General features: G+C 37.8%; 1 protein-coding gene and 1 long non-coding RNA gene across 2 annotated transcripts in view, besides 2 other annotated features; one reads left to right on the forward strand and one right to left on the reverse strand.

The window, feature by feature from the left end:
• CYP2C9 (cytochrome P450 family 2 subfamily C member 9) overlaps nt 1-12,930 on the forward strand; it is a 51,434-nt gene extending 38,504 nt beyond the window's left edge. The window contains exons 7-9 of the mRNA NM_000771.4: nt 4,022-4,209; nt 8,872-9,013; nt 11,686-12,930. Coding sequence (NP_000762.2) covers nt 4,022-4,209; nt 8,872-9,013; nt 11,686-11,867 — 512 coding nt within the window. The 3' untranslated portion in view covers nt 11,868-12,930. The remainder of the gene's footprint in view (nt 1-4,021; nt 4,210-8,871; nt 9,014-11,685) is intronic.
• Nucleotides 6,319-6,823: an enhancer, noted in NCBI's record as "NANOG hESC enhancer chr10:96743237-96743741 (GRCh37/hg19 assembly coordinates)". NCBI's record gives its function as "activates a minimal SCP1, AML or CMV promoter by ChIP-STARR-seq in naive H9 embryonic stem cells {active_cell/tissue: H9 hESC(naive)}" and the evidence as "EXISTENCE:reporter gene assay evidence [ECO:0000049][PMID:30033119]".
• Nucleotides 14,078-15,277: an enhancer, noted in NCBI's record as "P300/CBP strongly-dependent group 1 enhancer chr10:96750996-96752195 (GRCh37/hg19 assembly coordinates)". NCBI's record gives its function as "activates an origin of replication core promoter dependent on BRD2, BRD4, P300/CBP, MED14 and CDK7 cofactors, with strong dependence on P300/CBP, by STARR-seq in HCT116 cells {active_cell/tissue: HCT116}" and the evidence as "EXISTENCE:reporter gene assay evidence [ECO:0000049][PMID:35650434]".
• Nucleotides 16,567-21,197, reverse strand: LOC107984256 (uncharacterized). Its single transcript, XR_001747556.2, has 3 exons — nt 21,147-21,197; nt 20,803-21,039; nt 16,567-17,012 (listed from the first exon to the last, which is right to left on the reverse strand). It is a non-coding gene; the product is annotated as an uncharacterized LOC107984256 (long non-coding RNA).
• Between the last annotated feature and the right edge of the window lie 1,590 nt (nt 21,198-22,787).

The following is a 22,787-nucleotide window of genomic DNA, read 5'->3' on the forward strand; positions in this document are numbered from 1 at the left end:
TTTAACTGGAGTGAGATGACATCTCATTGTAGTTTTGATTTATATTTCTCTGAGGATCAGTGGTGTTGACCACCTTTTTGTATGCCTGTAACCCATTTATATATCTTCTTTTGAGAAACATCTATTCAAATCTTTTGCCCACTTTTGGATTGGATTATTAGATTTTTTTTCTATAGAGTTGCTTGAATTTCTTATATATTCTGATTACTAATCTCTTGTCAGATGAATAGTTTGCAAATATTTCTCTCCATTCTGTGGATTGTCTTTTCCCTTTGTTGATTGTATCTTTGGCTGTGCAGAAGCTTTTTAACTTGATGTGATCCCATTTGTTCATGTTTGCTTTGAATGCCTGTGCTTGTAGGGTATTGCTCGAAAAATTTTTGCCTAGACCAATGTCCTGGAGATTTTCCCTAGTGTTTTCCTATAGTAGTTTCACAGTTTGAGGTCTTAGACTTAAGTCTTTAATCCATTTTGAGTTGATTTTTGTATATGGCAAGGGATATGAGTCCAGTTTCATTCTTCTCTGTAGGATATTAAATTTTCCCAGCACATTTATTGAAGAGACTGTCTTTCCCCCAGTGTACGTTCTTGGCACCTGTGTTAGTCTGTTCTCATGCCTCTAATAAAGCCATACACAAGACTGGGTAATTTATAAAGGAAAGAAGTTTAATGGACTCACAGTTCCACATGGCTGGAGAGGCCTCACAATCATGGCAGAAGATGAATGAGGAGAAAAGTCATGTCTTACGTGGTAGCAGGCAGATAGCTTTGCAGGGGAACTCACATTTATAAAACCATCAGATGTTGTGAGATTTAGTCACTATCATGAGAAAAATATGGAGGAAACCACCCCCATGATTCAATGATCCCTACCTGGCCTCCCCCTTGACTTGTGGGGATTATTTCAATTCAAGATGAGATTTGGGGTGGGGACACAGCCAAACCATATCAGCCCCTTTGTCAAAAATGAGTTAACTCTAGATACGTGAACTTGTTTCTGAATTCTCTATTCTGTTTCATTGGTCCATGTGTTTGTTTTTATGTCAGTACCATGCTGTTTTAGTTAGTATAGCTCTGTAGTTTAATTTGAAGTGAGATAATGTGATTCCTCCAGTTTTGTTCCTTTTGCTTAGGATAGTTTTGACTATTCTGGGTCTTTTGTGGGTCCATATACATTTTAGGATTTATTTTTTCTATTTCTGTGAAGAATGCCATTGATATTTTGATAGGAATTTTATTGAACCTGTAGATTGTTTTGATAGTATGGGCACTTTAACAATATTGATTTTTCCAATCCATGAACATGAAATATTTTTCTGTTTGTTGGGTCCTCTTAAATTTCTTTCCTCAGTGTTTTATAGTTTTCATTATAGAGATCTTTCAATTCTTTGGTTAAATTAATCCTAGGTATTTAAAATTATGTATGGCTATTTTCAATGGGATTATTTTTTAAATTTCTTTTTCTTTTTTTTCACTGTTGGCATATAACAACACTACTGATTTTTATGTTGATTGTGTATCCTTCAACTTTACTGAATTTGTTCATCAGTTCTAATAATTATCTTGTAGAATCTTTAGTTTTTCCTACTATAAGGTTATATCATCTGCACACAAGGATATTTTGACTTCTTCCTTTCCAATTTTGATAGCCTTTATATCTTTCTCTTGTCTGATTGCTCTTGCTAGGTCATCCAGTACTATGATGAATAACAATGGTGACAATGGGCATCCTTGTTGTGTTCCTGATCTTACAGGAAAGACTTCCTATTTTCTCCATTCAGGATAGTACTAGTTGTGGGTCTGTCATATAGCTTTTTTATGTTGAGGTATGTTCCTTCTATCTCAAGTTTTTTTTATGAATTTTCATCAAGAAGGGATGTTAAATTTTATCAAATACTTTTTCAGCATCAACTGAAATGATCATATGGCTTTTATCCTTCATTCTGTTGATATGATGTATCACACTGCTTGATTTGCACATGTTGAACCATTCTTGCATCCAAGGGATAAATCCCACTTGGTCATTGTGAATGACCTTTTTATTGTATTGTTGAATTTGGTTTGCTAGTGTTTTGTTGAAGATTTTTGCATTAGTGTTCATCAGGTGTATTGGCCTGTAGTTTTTTTTTTTTTTTTTTTTTTTTTTGATGTGTCTTAGTCTGATTTTGGTATCAGGGTAATACTGGCCTCATAGAATGAGTTTGGAAGTATTCTCTTCTCCTTTATTTTTTGGAATAGTTTGAGTAGGGTCGGTATTAGTTCTTCTTTAAATGTTTGGTAAAATTCAGCAGTGAAGCTAGCCAGTCTTGGGATTTTCTCTACTGGGATGATTTTATTTCTCGTTTGATCTTTGTGCTGGTTATTGCATGTTCAGATTTTGGATTTCTTCCTGGTTCAATCTTGATGGGTCATATTTGTGTAGGGATTTGTCCATTTCTTCTAGATTTTCCAATTTATTGGCATATAGTTGCTCATAGTAACCAATAATTATTCTTTGAATTTCTGCAGTATCAGTTCTAATGCCTCCTTTTTAATTTTTTATTTATCTGAATCTACTCTTTTTTTTTTTCTTAGTCTGGCTAACGGTTTGTCAATTTTGTTTAACTTCTCAAAAAAGCAACTTTTTGTTTCATTGATCTTTTGTTTTGTTTTCTTCACTTAAATTTTATTTATTTCTGCTCTGATCTTTATTATTCCTTTTCTTCTACTAATTTTGGTTTTAATTTGCTTTTGCTTTTCTAATTCTTTAGGATGCATCATTAAATTGTTTGTTTGTCAATTTTCTCCATTTTTGATATAAGCTCTTGTAGCTATAAACTTCCCTCTTAGTACTGGTCTTGCTGTAACCCCTAGGTTTTGGTATGTTGTGTTTCCATTATCATTTGTTTCAAGAAATTTTTCAATTTTCTTTTTAATCTCTTCATGGGTCCACTGTTCATTTATGAGCATATTTTTAAATTTCCATTTATTTGTGTAGTTTCCAAAATTCCTCTTGTTATTGGTTGCTGGTTTTATTACATTGTGGTCAGAGAAGATGCTTGATATTATTTCAGTTTCTTTGAATATTTTAAGACTTGTTTTGTGACCTAACATACGGTCAATTCTTGATAACAATCCATGTGCTGTGGAAAAGAATGTGTATTCTGTAGCAGTTGGATAAAATATCCTGCAAATATCTATGAGATCCATTTGATCTATAGTGCAGATGAATTTCAATGTTTCCTTGTTGATTTTCTATCTGGATGACCTGTCCAATGCTGAAAGTGGGGTGTTGAAGTCTCCAGGTATTATTATATTGGGGCCTATCTCTCTCTAGTTCTAATTATATGTCTTTTATATATCTGGGTGCTGCATTATTGGTTGCATATATATTTAAACTTGTTCCATCTTCTTGCCAAGCTGACCACTTTATCACCAATAGTGATCTTCTTTGTGTCTCCTTATGGTTTTTGTTTTGAAATCTACTTTGTCTGTTTTAAATATAGTAACTCATGCTCTTTTTTTCATTTCCATTGGCAGGTACTGTCTCATTCAATTCCTTTATTTTCAGCCTATGTGTGTCTTTATAAGTGAAGTGTGTTTCTTTTAGGCAACAGATTAATAGGTCTTGTTTTTCCATCCAGGTCAGTAACAGGTCAGTATGTCTTTTGATTGGAGATTTTATTCCATTTACATTCAGTGTTATTATTGATAAGTAAGGACTTACCCATGCCCCTTTGTTATTTGTTTTCTGGTTGTTTTGTGGACTTCTCTTCCTTCTTTCATTTCTTCCTGTCTTCCTTTATTGAAGAGAATTTTCTCCACTTATATGTGTACAGATTTTTCTTAATATCTGGTTTATGGCAGTTACACATTTGTGCATCTGTAACCATCCTCTCTTTAAGTTTGCATATACTTCCAGCACTATAATTTAAATTTATAATGATGTTTGGATACCTTCATGATTCATATACCCCTGAATTGCTACAACAAATGTGCCATTTTTCTCCTTTTCCATCAGTTTTTACTTGTGTCTTATCAGCTAAAGTCCAGGAAGAGATTGAACGTGTGATTGGCAGAAACCGGAGCCCCTGCATGCAAGACAGGAGCCACATGCCCTACACAGATGCTGTGGTGCACGAGGTCCAGAGATACATTGACCTTCTCCCCACCAGCCTGCCCCATGCAGTGACCTGTGACATTAAATTCAGAAACTATCTCATTCCCAAGGTAAGTTTGTTTCTCCTACACTGCAACTCCATGTTTTCGAAGTCCCCAAATTCATAGTATCATTTTTAAACCTCTACCATCACCGGGTGAGAGAAGTGCATAACTCATATGTATGGCAGTTTAACTGGACTTTCTCTTGTTTCCAGTTTGGGGCTATAAAGGTTTGTAACAGGTCCTAGTGTCTGGCAGTGTGTGTTCTCCAGATTTATTATCTTTCTTCAAGATTGGTTTGGCTACTCTTAGGTGCTTATATTTCCAAATAATTTTTAAAGGTATTAGTTTGTCAATTTCCCAAAACCTTGGGCTGGAATTTCTGGCAGGGTGACACTAAATTTATAGGCTAGTTTGGAAAGAACTGAATCTTGACACGTTGAGGCTTTCCATTCCTGAATATAATTATGCTTCCAATTTGTTTGGGGTTTCTTTTATTTAACCAGGAATGTTGTGAATTTGTTGTCATGGCTTTCGAGTCTTTGGTTTTCCCTAGATAATTAATATTTTTGTTGTAGAACATAAATAGTTTTTATCATTCTGATGATGTTAATCTGTCAACTTTGCTAAATTTACTAGTCACTATTCGTAATTTATTTCTGGATTCATTGTAATTTCTGTGTATATTATACTGTATCTGAGTTAATATTGTTTTATTTCTTATTTTCCATTTCTCATGGGCTTAATGTCTCTTTATCACATTCATTATTGCATTAGCTAGAATTTCTAGGAGAGCATTGAATAGAATTGGTGACAGTGGGGATCCTTGTTTCTCATTTCTAATCTGCAGGAAGCAGTGGAAGTTTTCCATTTCAATATTGAGAATGATGCTTGAAGTAGATTTTGGTAGATATTTTTTATCAGATTAGAGAAGTTTGCTGTCATATATATATATGTCATAATTGTGTGTAAAATCTTGTCAAATCAACACTCTGCATCTATTTATATAATTGTGTGTTAGTCCATTTCCATTGCTATAAAGGAATATCTTTGACTGGGTAATTTATAAATAAAAGAGTTTCATTTTGGCTCATGGCTCTGCAGGCTGTGCAAGAGGCATAATGTGGGCAGGCATCTACTCCTAGTAAGGACTTCAGGTAGCTTTCAATCTTCGGAGAAGGTGAAGGGGAAGCAAGCATGTCACATGGCAAGAGAGGGAGTAAGAGAAAAAGGAGTAGAAGTGACTTTAAACAACCAGCTAGTGTGTGAACTAACAGAATATGAACTCACTTATTATCATGGGAAGAGGTTTAAGCCACTCATGAAGAATTCACCCCCATGTCCTAAATACTTCTCACACCAGAACCCACCTCCAACATTGAGAATCACATTTCAACATGAGATTTGGAGGGGACAAATATCCACACAACATCAGATTATATATATTGGGCTTACATTTCTCACTAAATAGAAATAAGTATGCACATAGAGATGAACTGGCCTTCTTCATATTGTTTAGGACTTCAGTGTTTACATTCACAAGAGATTTGGTTTATAGTTTTATTTCTCAGAATTTTCAAGATTTTTGATATTAAGATTATGCCAGCCTTATAAAACTATGCAAGAAATGTTTCCTAATGTGAGACTGTTTTTATTGCCGTTCCCTCTCCCCACTTTTCTTCTTGTGATCACTTAGTTGTATCTTTGAAATGCCTGATAACTTTTGGTTAAATACCAGATGGTATATGTAAGAAATTGCAGAATTGCAGAGGAGGTTTATATTCTTCAAAGAAAGATTCATTCCTCTCCCATCGGCAGTCATAATGACATGATACCTGTTGTCATGATTCAGAATTGGACATAATGTGAATCCAGTTGAAAATTGAGTGTCAGTGTTAGCTTAGCTCTCTGAGGTTCTCCTACCTTTGGAAGCTTGAGACCAATTTTTGTCTTGACAGCTTTGCAGTGCCTTCTATCACATGGTTTCTGTATTTATCCAGACACTCCATTTGCCATCTCAAACCTACTCTTTTCCAATCAAAACCAATATATATTATTAGTAAAATAAAAAATAATATAACTGAAAGTTGTATTTTCAAGGGGAAAAAGCAATGAGACTTGGTAAGGTTGCAATTACTAATGTCATCTTTTGAAGAAGACAGAATTGATAATTTACTTAGAGATTATGGGGCTTACCCTAGTGGTCACTGAGTTAGTACAAGAGAAAAGACTTCAATGCACTCTGTTTTCACAAACACAGGAGATAACCAGGAGACTTTCGCTTCTCAAAATTAGGGTCTGAGGGTAATGGTAATGAAACTTACTTCTTCTCCTATAACTAATTAAATGAGAAATATACTGAAGAATCAGGCACGAGTTGCCAGTCTCCCCAGTTCACTGCATCAGCTTTGGTGACCTCCTGGAGGGGAACGCTGCATCTGATGAGCTCATGCTGTGCCTGATGTCTTTTGAGCCCTGAGAAGCCAGAGCCCAAGGGGATTACCCATTGAATCCCTTCTTCGTGGAATAGCCCAGTGCAGAAAAAAGCAGCACTGTGTGGCCAATTCTACCCTCTTTACAAATCAGATACATGTGTTCTTCTGCTACAGGCTGGATCCACTTATCTAGCTGGAGATGATAGTCTGAGACAGGAGTTGGCAAACTGTCTCTGTAATGGGCCAGATAGTAAATATTTTAGACTTTTCAGGCAATGTGGTTTCTGTTGCAATTCTTGACATCTGCTATTGTAGCATGATAGCAGTCACAAACAATCTGCAAATGAATGAGGATTGATATGTTCCAATTTTTATAGAAACAAATGTAAATTTCCTATAAAATGTTTGTTTCAAAAATATTGTTTCTTGTTTGCATTTGTTCAATGTAAGTACTTTTAGCTCACATACTATACAAAAACAGGTGGCAGGGTGGACTTGTGCAGGGAGTATTTTTTATTGATGCCTAATATAAGACATCCCTGTCCAGTAGAATTTTCTGCAAAGATGTGCGATTGATTTGTGCTTTTATGTCATATTTAAAGAATATTTGTCAGCACAAGATTCCAAAGACTGGCTTTCAACTTTCCCAGAATTTTTTTGTTTTAGCTCTTATATCTAGATCAATGACATATTTCAAATTAATTTTTATTTCATAATATGAAGTAATAGTGGTCATGCTTCAATGTCTATAAATTTCTACTTATTCAAGTAACATTTGTTGAAATAAATCTGCTTTGGTATCAATAACATTTTAATATAGTACTTGTTTATAAATATTCAAGGGAATATTTTTAAAAAACAAAATTATAGACTATTTATATGAAAATTTAGGGGGTAGAATTTTTCCTAACATTTTTATTATAAAATTTTTTAAAATAAATAACATTACACACACATATGTATATGTACATATGGCAGTGTGTATACATATCTACTCTGATATCTGTCCATCCATCTATTTACACCTCAATACTTCAGTATGTATAGCACAATAACAATGGTTTTCTCCTACATAATAATAGCATTCATACTGTGGAGTTATTAATACAATAATATTATTTACTATACAGCTTTTATTTAAAATTTCCCAACTTTAAAATAATATTTTAATCACTTTTTTCTTGCAATTCACTCTCCAGTCAAGAAATAAGCACATAGTTTCAGTATCCTGTTACTTTCCATCTCCTGTAATCAAGAAGAGTCCATTTCCTCTGTTTCCTTTCAGTATGTTGATCTCTGTGAAGAGTTGAGCAATTAGTCATTTAAATTTTCCTGGGGCTCGTTTTGGGTAATTGTTTTCTAAATATTATATTCCAGTTATGACTTTGGCAAGAAAACTACATAGTATTTTGAATATTCTGCTGAATCACAGTGGTGAGGCAGGGGCACATAATGTCACATATGCCATTATTGGTTATGCTAAGATCCTCACCTAATAAGTTGGAATCTGCCAGATCTTTCCATTGAAGGGGTTCTGCTTTTTATGCGTGAATGATGAAAATCTATGGCATGGTACTTCAAGGCAGAACACCCTGTTTCCCAAGTCACACATCCAATAGTTTTATCTTTCATTAATGATCCTCATCTGACCTGATGATCTTGACCTGAATGGTTACAAATAGGTGATTTTTCTAATTTCATCATTCCTTCCGTATTTTTAAGCTAGGATTAATCTGTAATGAATATCTCTCCCATATCTTTAAATGAAGACAAACAAACTGCATGGCAATGACAAGAACTCAATAGTTTTATCCTTGCCACTACACTTGTTACCATCCCAGAAGATGTCATTTGAAATTCAATCATATGTTTATTCACAAATGCCCTGTGAACAGATACTGTGGCCATTTCCCATGTCAACAGAGACTTCAACTTTTAGTTATACTCTACACATAAGGTTGGTGAAAACTGAAGTGATGGAATAGAGAAGCAAGTGTGGACAGCCACTAGTTTCCAAGCTTGATGAAAAGGAGGACAGATTCAGAAGGTTGCATCCAAGTATCCAAGTACTCAGGACTTCAAATGTGATTGCAGGGCACTTTAGCAAGATTATTGTCATGGGCCTTAAGTTCATGACTCTTATTACTTGGTCTATCCATCTGGAAATGGTACTGCCCTTCTTTGGAACGGGATTTCCTCATCTGCACATCAAAAGATTTAACTACATGATTACCACTGTTTCTTCAACCTTCATGGCTTCTTTACAGCTCAGTTCATCTATGTCTCTTGTTTCTAGGGCACAACCATATTAATTTCCCTGACTTCTGTGCTACATGACAACAAAGAATTTCCCAACCCAGAGATGTTTGACCCTCATCACTTTCTGGATGAAGGTGGCAATTTTAAGAAAAGTAAATACTTCATGCCTTTCTCAGCAGGTAATATAAATTTATTTCCATTTGTGTTTCAGGGTACAAGATAACTTTTTTGATCCATTGGAACTTACATGTGCCTCCTCTGCAGTGGTACAATTACTCTTTGTACATGATCAAGAGCACTGTTCTGAATGCCTGTGTACACCCTGCTCATGATACATCCTAATTATTGGGCCAGATTAGTGGACTTTGGGGAGTTAATCCAATTCTTCCAAATTGAGAAAGCTGAAATATAGGTTGGTTGAATTCTGCCTCTAGGTACACCAGTGAGGTACCCAAGAACTCCTCCTGGAAGATAAAACTAATTACATTTTCCTCACTAGCCATGAGGAAGTTATCTCACTCCAGAACTTCACTGAGTGTCTTCCACATGGTGTCCCTCACCCCCTAGGCTGGGCTTGTAGGATAAAATTATCCACAAACACAGAATAGGGTCTTAAAAGGCTCACTTCTGAGTTTGGAAAGCAGAGTAAACAGATCATTGTAGTTCAATAGGACTGAGGCTGTGATATGGAAAGAACAGGCTGTTGGGGGTTGGGAGGTAGACGGAAAAGCTGTCTGCTTCTTGTACTCTTATACCCCAAAGTGAGGCATAAGTAATATTTTAATAGCAGTAAAGACATTTGAGCTACCTCAAAGGAGGCAGAGAGGATGAAAAGAAGAGAAGACAGGGCTATTAAAGGAGATAATGAGCCACAGGAGCAGGACATTGGCTCTAAATAAAGGATATTAGAACCTTTGCCAAATGACCATGGATGGGATGAGGGGGACATTGGGAATGTAGCAGGATACTCTGCAGTGATGCAGAGCACCATGCTGTTCCCCTAGTCATGGCCATGTATATTGGATGTTGGATCTCCATACTTGAAATGTGTGTGCTGAGCATCTGGTGATAGAATCTCCTTCCTTTATTCTATGACCTTTAATGTCTGCTTTATATCTGCCACTGTAGATACCAAGACAACAAGAAAAGAAACCTTCCTTCAAGCATTCACATTTAGCACATGTATTAGTCCACTCTTACATTGCCTTAAAGAACTACCTGAGATTGGGTAATTTATGAAGAAAAGAGGTTTAATTCACTCACAGATCCACAGGCTGTACAGGAAGCATGGCTGGGAGACCTCAAGAAACTTGCAATCATGGTGGGAGGCAGAGCGGAAGCAAGCACATCTTTCCATGGCAGAGCAGAAGAGAGAGAACAATGAGGAAAGGCTACATACCTTTAAACAACCAGATCTCATGAGAACTCACTCACTATCATGAGAACAGAAAGGGGGAAATTATCCCCCATGATTCAATCACCTCTCACCAGGTATCTCCCCCAACATTGGGAATTACAGTTTGACATGAGATTTGAGTAAGGACACAGAGCCCAACCATATCGCACACTAATAAATAAATAAATAAATCAGTAATTATTATTCTAGGTGATCCATGCTGTCTGTTTCTTCTGCCATAACAAAATATCCAAGACTAGGCAATTGATAAATAATGGAAATTTATTTCTCACAGTTCTGAAGGCTGGGAGTTCCAAGATCGATGTGTCAGCAAGTTCAGTGTCTGATGTGGGCCTGTTCCTTACAGATAATGCCCCCTCTGTATCCTTATATGGCAGAAGGGCAAAAAGGCAAAAGGGGAGAAATGGCTCCCTTGCATCTCTTGATGTTATTATTTTAGCAAGGACAGAGCCCTCCTGACTTATTCACTTCCTAAAAGGAGCCATCTCTTTAGTAATGTTGCATTGGGATTATGTGTCAACATATGAAATTGGGGGAGGCATATTCAGACCATAGCACATTTTTCAATGGAAATATAATGTTGAGGAAACCCAGAGAAGGCAACATTTTCTTGCTCAAGGAGATGAGAAAGAGGGTAAAAAAGGAGATAAAATTTGACCTATGTCCTGACTGTGGTAATAGAAAAGTTCATCTTGGCTAAAAGGAGCAGCATGATATAAAATTTGAAACCTCATGGTGTGTTGGAGACTGATGATGAGTGGCTATGCCTAGAGTTGACAGTATCGGATTTGAAGAGTGTAAGGAGTGATGTGGATCATCAGACTGGAAACAGAATGTGAGGGTCCAGATCAATCCATTGGGACCTTATCCTATAGGACATACAGGGAAGCCATTTAAAGTTTTAAAGTGAGAAGGTGACATGTTTAGACATGTGCTCCTGAAAGTACCTAGAGGAAAAAAATCTTTGGCTGCATATTGAGCCAGAAATACAAAGGGAAATACAGTATGTTAGCCTCCTCCTCTAAGCCCTTCTCAGTTCAACCCACTGGACAAGAAATGTATGTTTCTAAAGAAAGATTGATGAAGACATTTAAAGTCTCTTGAAAGATTTTAATAAAGTGCTTGGCATGTAGCTGGTACTCAACAAATATTTGTTGAATACAGGGTGCCTGTTAAGATCTGATATTAGGTGAAGAGTAAGTATGTCCATTCATTTTTCAGTTGCCTATACATCCATCCATTCATCCATTTATCCATCCACTCATCCATCCATTCATTCATGCATGCACCCATCCACCCATCTATCTCTTCATCTCTTCTACGATACACTGAACAGTTATTGCATATTCTGTTTGTGCCAGTTACAGAGACAGTGTTTGTCACTGTCACAGTTACGCATGAGGAGTAACTGCTCTCTGTGTTTGCTATTTTCAGGAAAACGGATTTGTGTGGGAGAAGCCCTGGCCGGCATGGAGCTGTTTTTATTCCTGACCTCCATTTTACAGAACTTTAACCTGAAATCTCTGGTTGACCCAAAGAACCTTGACACCACTCCAGTTGTCAATGGATTTGCCTCTGTGCCGCCCTTCTACCAGCTGTGCTTCATTCCTGTCTGAAGAAGAGCAGATGGCCTGGCTGCTGCTGTGCAGTCCCTGCAGCTCTCTTTCCTCTGGGGCATTATCCATCTTTCACTATCTGTAATGCCTTTTCTCACCTGTCATCTCACATTTTCCCTTCCCTGAAGATCTAGTGAACATTCGACCTCCATTACGGAGAGTTTCCTATGTTTCACTGTGCAAATATATCTGCTATTCTCCATACTCTGTAACAGTTGCATTGACTGTCACATAATGCTCATACTTATCTAATGTTGAGTTATTAATATGTTATTATTAAATAGAGAAATATGATTTGTGTATTATAATTCAAAGGCATTTCTTTTCTGCATGTTCTAAATAAAAAGCATTATTATTTGCTGAGTCAGTTTATTAGACCTTCCTTCTTTTATGCATAATGTAGGTCAGAAATTAAAGAAAATAGAGTTCCAGGAGGCCATGCTGGTTCTCAAAATGATAAGGACAGAAAGGACAAAGAGGAAGAGGGTAGGGAAGCTATTTTGGGTGAGTGTTAGAGTTACTTGAGGATTGGATTTGAAAGTGAGAAACTGTGTCCAGGGGCAGCTCTAACCTCTAGGGAAATATTCAGAGGATCAGTCAAAGGGTGGAATGGACATTAAATGCTAGAATTCTTATATCCACATTGGTGTTCCTTTTTTTTTGAGACAAAGTCTTGCTCTGTCACCCAGGCTGGAGTGCAGTGGTGTGATCTCAGCTCTCTATAACCTCCGCCTCCCAGGTTCAAGTGATTCTCCTGCCTCAGCCTCCTGAGTAGCTGGGATTACAGGTGCATGCCACCACACCTGGCTAATTTTTTGTATTTTTAGTACAGACGGGTTTTCACCGTGTTAGCCAGGATGGTCTTAATCTCCTGACCTTGTGATCTGCCTGCCTCAGCCTCCCAAAGTGCTGGGATTACAGGTGTGAGCCACTGCGCCTGGCCTGGTGTTACTTTGAAGTGTCATTACTTTATCTCTAAATAAAGAATCAGATTACTTTTATTACTTCATGTTTCCAACTTAGAATGATGTAATGAAGTATAAATACATGCTTTCATATCGCTGCTCATGTGTTCTGTCATGTTTCTCTCTTCAAACATAAACAAAATTTCTTTTTGGTTTTTGTTTGTTTGTTTGTTTGTTTTGAGATGTAGTCTCGCTTTTGTTGCCCAGGCTGGAGTACAATGGCATGATCTTGGCTCACTGCAATCTCCACCTCCAGGGTTCAAGTGATTCTCCTGCTTCAGCCTCCCAAGTAGCTGGGATTACAGGTGCCAACCCCCATACCAGGCTAATTTTTGTATTTTTAGTAGAGACAGCATTTCACCATGCTGGCCAGACTAGTCTTGAACTCCTGACCTCAAGTGATCCACCCATCTCGGACTCCCAAAGTGCTGGGATTACAGGCATGAGCTACCATGCTTGGCTGGGCAAAATTTCTAAGAAGAATTACAAAGATTTAATCTCTCTCAGCTTCTCCTACATTATTTTACTTTTAACATAAGTGGGATGATAATTTTATGCTATGGTCCTAAATATAATTAGCCTCATGTCATCTCCAAAGAATAGACAACTAAGTATCTTATGTTAAATTATATTCACCACTTTTCCTGTCTTCTACTTGAAATGTAAGAAATAAGAAGTAACATAATTTGTTATGCTTCTCACAGCTCATCTCCCAGAAGAAGTTACTTACATTTTGGAATACGTTTTAAAGATAATATGTGGATACAGGTGTACATGAACATCTATATATGTCTGTGTACATTATGTGTATTTACCCATTTTATATATATGCATATATATATATATATACACACACATATATGTAACTTATGCACACATACATATAGGGTTAAATGTTTATTACAATATTGGGCTCATATCACACATCTTGTATTAAAACTTGTTATTTTCCTATCAAGTAATATGGCAGCAAAACCTCTAAGGTGATAGAAACATAGGGAAATGATTGAGAGAGATAATAGAAGAGAAAGTGGAAATGAGTATTACATTAATGGGAAGATCCAAATGGAAATTATACATTATACCTTTCAACCTTCTTCATTGGGAAATGCAAATGTATTAATGTAGTGTTAGTAGAGGTGCTGGCAAACACCCCTAGGTGAGATAAATCAAGTAGATGTCAAGTCTGTTTTCTCCTAGAGACTGTAGTGAATAATCTGTTTTCCTGCCTATTTCACCTCCTAAAGGCTGCCTGCATTCCTTGGCTCATGAACTCTTCCTTCTTTCACTCCAAACACTTGCTTCTGTTGTCACATCTCCTACTCCTACTACTGACTCTTATTCTCACATCTCCCTTACATTAGAAATGCAAAATGCTTTTTCCCTGGTGTCACAAAGAAATAGCACTCAAACATAAATTTAATTTTCTCGGCAAGGCAATTTTTACTTTCTGCAGAAAGAGTGCTCCTTGCAGATGGAACAATGGTGAGAGCACACCTGGACAGAGGAGGAGAAGAGGTTATTATTCCTGATGGAGATAGCCTTTACTGCTGTGTCATTCCCCTATTGGCTAGGTTGGACTGCACAGTCTAAGCAATTCCAACTGGCTATTTTAAAAAAGAGCAGGAGTATGAGCCAGAGTGGTGAGGCATGTAGTTTGGCAGGAAGGGCAGTTACAGAACTGGTGGCTCAGGATGAGTCAGGATGGAGCAGGTGACCAGGGGTGAGTCATATCAAAGCAGGTGACCAGGGGAAGAGATGTGAACTACTGATTAGGACTGGTGGGAAAGTTGTTTACTGAAATTAGAAGGGAGGGGGCAAAGGGAACCAGGAAGTTAAACTTTAAAATGGAGAATCAATAAGAGAGCTGAACATACTGACATACTGATTCTTTGAATAGAAACTTGGGGTTCACTATATTTAACAGTTCTTCATCTTGAATTTTTACAGTTCCTTCTCTTCAAACTTCCTTAAAATGTCTTGGCTTAGTTGTTCTGCATGATTCTCTAAAAGAAAAAGCTTCTCTGAATAAGGTGGAGGAGAATTAAGGGAGGTTTTAGTAAGTGCTGCCTGTATGAGTCTGTGAACCAGCCCACGGATGCATGGTATGACAAAACACCCAACAAGAATGAATACGCCTACTATGGCTGTGAGAGAAGTAAGAACTGAGGCTATGATTTTTTTTTTCCATTTACTGAATGATTTTTCTAGGCACCTTTTAAAGGGGTCACTTACCGCTGAGTTTTTGGTTAACTCATTGGACAGAGCAGTTAGACCTTGCAATGCCTTGTTATACTTCCATCAGGGGCAGTATTGTTTGGGATGAAGGTACAATATTGAGTTTTAATCATGATGCAAACTCCTCCTCCTTCTGCTGCTGATATAATGTCTAAGGCTATTCTATTTTCCCAAGCCATCTGGCTAGTAGCCCCTAATTGCATTGCTATTTCTTTAGCAGCATCTCTAGTGTAGTTAATAAACCACTGTTGATCATAATAGATGTAATTCATCCAGTCTACATTTTTATTAATTTTTACCCACTAGAATATTGACTGAAATCCTGAAGCTATTTGATCATGGGCTTTAAATTCATCTGGCACTCCTCATTGAGCTCTAATAGCATTTACATAAACATGGGGGTCAAAGGACCCATATAGGGCACTTCTTCTTTTATGATTTTCTCTCTTTTTTTGTAATCATGTTGATGAAATGCTAGAGTGAAAGGGATGGTGAATTGGACTAGAGCACAAGTGCTGCTCTAATAACTTGGCAGAGTATCCAGCAATAGTCCCCCATGATACCACCACACTTATGCTCAGGGATGAACAAGGACAGACTGATTGGTAAGCTCTTGGAAAGGCTTGGTTACACTGCACCCTGTTAAATCTTCAAGGAATGCTAACTTTTTCCCCTGCTGTGAAAGGAATGAGGTGAAGTTAACATCAGGGGCTGGAGGCCAGAAGGCCCTTGAGGGCTGACCCACAGGGCTCTTAACCTCAGAGAACAGCAGTAAAAGAGCCTTGCATGACTCATCGCCCCAGGCTGTGGGGTTCTGGAAGACAGCTACCATACAGCTCATGCCAGGTCCCTGAGAGGACCACCCAAGTGGAAAGGGAACAATCTGGGTCTCTGGCCTGCCTATCGCACAAGCGTTACAGTCACTTTTGTTTATCGTGCAAACAGAATATTTTATCCATTCCAGCCAAGCATTTGCATCCTGATACCCTGTTTCAATTGCTATAGTTTGTTTTAAATAGTTAACCTCTACAACAACTAGTTTGGTTTTATCATTGGGTATATAACAAGAGAATGTTGGTTAGAGGAGAACTTAGGAGAGGGAGAAAAGGGTACAGGAAGTGAGGAGGAAATGAAGCACATTTCAAAGGATCCTGAGACTTCTGCTCCTATACCATAGAAATGGTTTAATGAAGGGGAAGAACTCTGGGGAACAGAGATGGTAATCTGTACTGGATTACATTGGTTTAGCTGACAGTGGGGAGGGATAGCTCCTTTAGTAAAATGAATATATGGTTTTAAGAAACTGCAAGTACTAGTTAGTGTGGTCCATCCTTGCTCTTTAGTATTTTATAGAGCATTGAGCCAAGTTTGGCAGAGAAGCTCTGCTCTAGGAGGACAAGATTTCCAGTTTATACTGGAATCTTCATCAAACTCTTCTCAAACTAACTTATCCCAGTTAACAGATTTTTAGTCTGAGGAGAGCTAGGAAGGATAAAGATAGTTTTCTGAAGTGGAGAGTTGCCCCTAACTTGGCAAATCTCCACAGGGTATAACAAGGCAACCATCAAATGTAATAGTTTGAGGCAAAATTGACTTGGTTACATTAATAACTAGGTAGTCAGCAATAGAGCAAGGAAAGAAGAAGGAGTAACAGAATAGATGAAAGGAGTTAAATTTTTCTTATCTTTAGTTTGATAGGGTTTTCTCCTGGGACTACGGCCCATGACTCTGGAGGGGGCAGCACTTTCTTGACTTGGGTGTGATGGGTCCATCCTTTTTCTGCTGTCCAGACTGCCATTTCGGTAGTTAGGAGCACTAGGTAAGGTCCTTTGCCAGTTCAAGTTTTCCTTCTCTCTAACTTTTGACAACGACGTGGTCCCCAGGCTGATGCTGGTGTGCTGGAAATGCTAGGGGTGGCACCTGTGCTGAAAGACCTTTAGTTCTGAGGGAAGGGAAAGTGGAAGATAAACCAAGTATATAATTTCTGAGAAACTGATCTTCTGTTTCAAATGTAGAGAAATCAGTAGTAGAATGTAGATAAGGCAATCCATAAAGCATCTCATACAGGGCTAGGCCTATGTCTTTTCAGGGAGCAGTTCAGACTCTCAACAGGGTAATAGGCCTTCCTACTTTCCTTGATGAAGGTAGGTGTCAGAGATTATGATATTCCCATGTTATATCCAGTACCTGGGCTCATTTCTTTTTTTTTTTTTTCAACCTAGGCTGGAGTGCAGTGGCATGACTTGGCTCACTGCAATCTCTGCCTCCCAGGTTCACACCATTCTCCTGCCTCAGCCTCCCGAGTAGCTGGGACTACAGGTGCCCCCCACCACGCCTGGCTAATTTTTGTATTTTCATTAGAGACGGGGTTTCACTATGTTGGTCAGGCTGGTCTCAAACTCCTGACCTCTTGATCCACCCACTTTGGCCTCCCAAAGTGCTGGGATTACAGGCATGAGCCACTGTGCCGAGCAACCTGGGCTCATTTCTTAATGACATGTGCAGTGAAATGAGTCCTATTATCTGAATCAATCTTTTCTATTAATCTAAACTTGGGTATAATATTTTCAGCTAATACCTTGACTACACTATTAGCAGTTGTACTTGAAAAGGAAATAGCTTCTACCCAATGAGTAAGGTGATCTACTATTACTAATAAATATACTTTAGATGACTAATTGGAGGCATCTCTATGCAATCAATCTGGATATTCTGGAATGGCCTTAAGCCTGGATTCCTTCCCCTGAGGGGTAATGTTTTTATAGCTTGTTTATTAGTTTTCCTACATGCTAAGCAACTATCTGTAACTTTCGCCAGGGTGTAAATTTCTATACCCCTATAAACTCTGAGAACTACATCACACATGCCTTGGGGTCCCCAATGGGTCCCTCAATGCAGTTGGAACAGGATTTCCCTCATAAGAGGTTTGGATAACAATTTTCTCTGGTTTAGCAATATCCTTTTTCCTTCTGAATTTTTTTTTAGCACCTATTTTTATTGGTTTTTAGACCAAAGAAAGCCAAATGTCATTTTATATTTGACAGTGCTTCCTGTATGATTTTATACCAGATAAGCTAAATTTTACCTTTATATTAGTGTGTTATTAATGTTAAACTCAATTTTTATAAAACCTTGTAGACATTATTTATCCAATTTTAATGTCTGACCATAAGGTAAGATTTTTACAGACTCTTTTTAACCCTTTATAATTTTTGTTAAAGAGCAGTTTAGTGCTTTAAAAAAAACTGTCATGCTTTTAATGTCCAGTTCACAGAAAAACTGTATGATACCCCTTTAACTTTAGCAATATGTTTACACACAGAATTTCCTTTACAATTAACATTTCAAAATTTGCTTAAACCTTCAAAACAATTTTTTTAACCTTTTAATGTAGGTAAAAATTCACATTCTTCTGCCTCCTTATAACTCCTTTACCAAAAGTATGTTTTACTTTCCTTACACACCTTGCACATAAACTGTTTCTTCAATAATTTTACATTCAGGAGGCCTAATTACTTTTAAATTATACAACAATTCTTGCATAAATTCCCTTTTATAGCATTTTTCATGACTTTCACAGACAGTCTTCGACATGCCTCAACTTTCTGACTTGTAAACATCACTTTCTTTAAACAACCAGTTAATCTATTTTAGGACAAGAATTTACCATATAACATTTCTTTTACATAAATTCTCCACTCCCCCCCTTTTTTTTGTCAAAGATGATAACTGTTCTTTTCCAAAGTGAACTTCCTTCATGTCCGGGCACTAGACTGCCTAAGGCCACAAGATTGGAAATTAGGATAATACATGTTACACTGTTAACTTGTAGCTAACTTTACTTCTGTTGAAAATCTTGTAAGTTTGGGATTTTAATTATCCTTTGCTATTAATAAGACTTCGTTCAGTCTAAACTTTTTTTTTTCCAAATGTATAAGCCACTTCAAAGGCATACTTAGAATTGGTATAGATGGTTCTTCCCTGGTTCTGTAAGTACTTTAAGGCTTGGCTGAGTGCAAACAGCTCACACGTTTGAGCAGACCAATTATTATGCAACTTTCCTAACTCCATTTCTACAAGAGTTTCCCTATCAATTACTGAATACCCATTGGGTCTTTTTCCCTCAATCACCCAGGTGGCACCACCTATAAATAAATAAGTGTCATCCCATCCTGAAGGGAGTTCCTCTTAGGTCTGGTTGGGCCTTTGTATGGTAATTAATTAAGATTTAGATCCCCTGTTAGGAAACCTGCTGGGTTAAGTGAATTATCAGTGGTTAATATTAAATCATACTTTTCTAACAGAATAGCATCATATTTTAAGATTCTTGAGTCAGTAAGCTACCTTTTTGCTTTTTTTGACTTGGGATAGCTCTGAATTGCTGAGGTGTGTTCACAATGAGGTTTCCTCTAAAAGTTATTTTTCTACTTTCTTCTGTTAGCAAAGCAGTTGCAGCTAAAGACTGAATGCATTTGGGCCATCTGCGGGTTACTGGGTTAAGAATTTTTGATAGGAAGGCTATAGGTTGTCAGTGGCCTCCGTGCTCTTGGGTAAGTATTTCTAAGGCTATGCCCTTGTTTACACTGAAAACAAGATGGACTGGCTGCTTAAGGAGGGCAAAAATAGGACAGGGGCAGTTACTAATAGTTGTTTTAACCTTTCCACCTGTTGGATTTCTGGTAATTGCCAAATGAGGGGGTTGGGCCCATCTTGTGTGAGCTTTTTGTATAAGGGTTTTGTTTTTAGGGCATAAGAGTCTATCCATAGATGACAGTACCCAACTAATCTTAAAATTTTCTAAGCTCTTGTTTAGTCTCTGGCAGAGGCAAGGATATGATGCCTTCAATCTGTTCAAGCTCAATTTGCTGTTTACCTTTGCTAATTAAATGACTTGTTCTAATATTTGACTAAATAAATTTGGAGAGTGTAAACCCTTGGGGTAAGACTGTCTGTCTATCAGTATTGCTATTTTCAATTGGAGTGAGGGTCTTCTCACTCAAAGGCAAATAGGTCCTGGTTGTCCTCTGTGAATGGACAAGCCCAGAAGACATTTTTTAAATCTATTATCATAACAACAGGGTGGGTAATTTGGACTATCTGAGTAATAGCTCTAAGGTCTTGCACTAACTGGTGTGACCCACCTGCCTTCTTTACAGGCAGTAATGGAGTGTTATAGGGTCACGGGGAAGGCCTTCAATGATCAATTACAGGTTTTAAATTTACCCTGGCTTTTAAAGGAATAGGTACGTTGCTTTCACTTTATTACTCTTTCTCTCTCTCTTTGACTCTCTGTCTCTCTCTCTCTCTTTATAAGATTTTTTTTATCCTTCTAATATTTTAACATTAGGCCTAGGGGATTATTAGGGGGAATATTATTGTTGTTAGCTTTATCCTTTACCTTACTTGGGGTATTTTCCATTTTTGGGTGAGGCTCAATTTCCCTTACCAGAAATGTTTCACATTTTGGGGTGAGGCTCAATTCCCTTACAGGAAATGTCTTGCCTTTTGGGATGAGGCTCAATTTCCCTTACTAGAAATGTCTCACCTCTTTTTAACCTCCTGACCAAGGAATACTTCACTGCCCCCCATGGATTTTCTTTCTTTAGTCCCAACTAAGGAATGCCTTACCACCCCTGCAGCTTCTCTTTCCTTGGTATGTCCCAATCAAGGAATGCTTCATTGCCCCTGTGTTTTTTCTTTCCTTAGTCTTGACCACCAAGGAAATACTTTACCAGCTCCTCCAGTGTTTCCTTCCTTGGCTTGTGCACGAGGTTGTCTGGTCCACGTAGTATGTGAGGATCCTTTACTTCAGGTCACCAGCCGGTTTCTTTCCGCATTGCTGAGAGTCCGGGTTTATTCAGCACAGCAGGTGGGTCTCAATTCCTCACCGCTGAGGCCACAGCAATGAGGCAGCAGGGCACCTCCTTAGGAGAGAGGACTGGAGACTACCCCCAGAGGAGAATAGGTCCCTGTACGGGCCACCAAATTGTTAGAAATGCAAAATGCTTGTTCCCTGGTGCTGCAAAGAAATAGCACTTGAACATGAATTTAATTTTCTCAGCAAGACAATTTTTACCTTCTGCAGAAAGAGTGCTCCTTGCAGATGGAACAATGGCGAGAGCACACCTGGACAGAGGAGGGGAAGAGGTTCTTATTCCTGATGCAGGTAGCCTCTACTGCTGTGTCACTCCCCCATTGGCTAGGGTCGGACTGCACAGTCTGTTGGACTGCACAGTCTAAGCTAATTCCAATTGGCTCTTTTAAAAAACAGCAGGAGTATGAGCCAGAGTGGTGGGGTAAGTAGTTTGGTGGGAAGGGCGGTTACAGAACTGGTGGCTCAGGATGAGTCAGGATAGAGCAGGTGACCAGGGGTGACTAGGGTCAAAGCAGGTGACCAGGGGAACAGATGTGAACTATTTATTAGGACTGGTAAGAAAGTTGTTTACTGAAACTGGAAGCAAGGGGGCAAAGAGAATTAAGAAGTTAAACTTTAAAATGGAGAATCAAACAATAAGATAGATGCACATACTGACATACTGATTCTTTGAAGATAAACTTGGGGTTCACTATATTTAACACTAATGTAAAGACCCTTGTGATTACATGAAACCCACCAGCTTAATCTCTTTATGTCAAGACATTATTTAGCCTACCATATTATTATTATACCAATTTGAACAACCAAACAATTGCACTGATGATCTGTTAAGTATCTTGTTCAAGGTCACACAGCTTTTTAAGTGTCAGAGCCAACAGTTGAACAAGGGCAATCTGACTGGAAAGTAGAAGTGGCTAACAACTTTGCTAATTCTCTGCATTTATTTTTATTGTTTATGTTTCATCCCTAAAATACATGTTTTATATGAGCAGAGAACTTTATTTGGCTCACTAATGAATTCCAGACACCTGAAACACTGTTTAGAAGATATTGGCTCAATAGATACTAGATAAATTAATGACTACTTAATGAATGAATGAATGTGGGCATAAAGGAGCGTGTGAATTTGTTTACTCTCTTTTAAAGCCAATGGGACGATATTCATAGAAATGTATATAAACACCTCCATCCTTCAAACAGTTTCACTTCTTGAGTATTAATGGATATCACTGAAGGTATATATTAATTACTATATATATGAATGCTTATTTTATGATTATTCATAAAAGATTTGAAACAAAACTTTACTGGAGGTTGTAAATAAATTATGGTGGATCTTAAAAATGGAAAAGTATGCATAGTTACAAATGATTTTCATAATTATATAATGATGAAGTATTTATTGTATGGCAGGCACTATTTTAATCATATGAAAACAATTCATTTCTTATACAGTGAATTTGGTACAATTATAATTCATATTCATTTAACAGATAAGGTCATGGAGGAACAGAGATGTTTATTAATCTGTCCAATGTCACAAGGCAAATAAGTGACACAGCTGGAGTAAATAGAAGATCTGACTCCAGAGTCTCCTCCCAAACTCTACAGTGTGCTGGGTTTATTTCTGGGGAGTCTCATCTCTACAGTCCTTCTAGGCTCTGTCTCTGAGAGACATGGCCTCCCTTCTTCCACCTAAAGCTATCCTGATATCTATGTTCTCCTTTCCATTGCTCTTCAATGCTATTCCAGATCTGGGTAGAAAAGCCTTAGCTTCACAGTCCCTCAATAATAAGGAAATGGGCGTGTTTCCTTATCCCCCTTGCAGGATGTGTGACA

This window comes from Homo sapiens, chromosome 10 (assembly GCF_000001405.40).
Source record: "Homo sapiens chromosome 10, GRCh38.p14 Primary Assembly".
In the NCBI taxonomy this organism is placed as follows: Eukaryota; Metazoa; Chordata; class Mammalia; order Primates; family Hominidae; genus Homo; species Homo sapiens.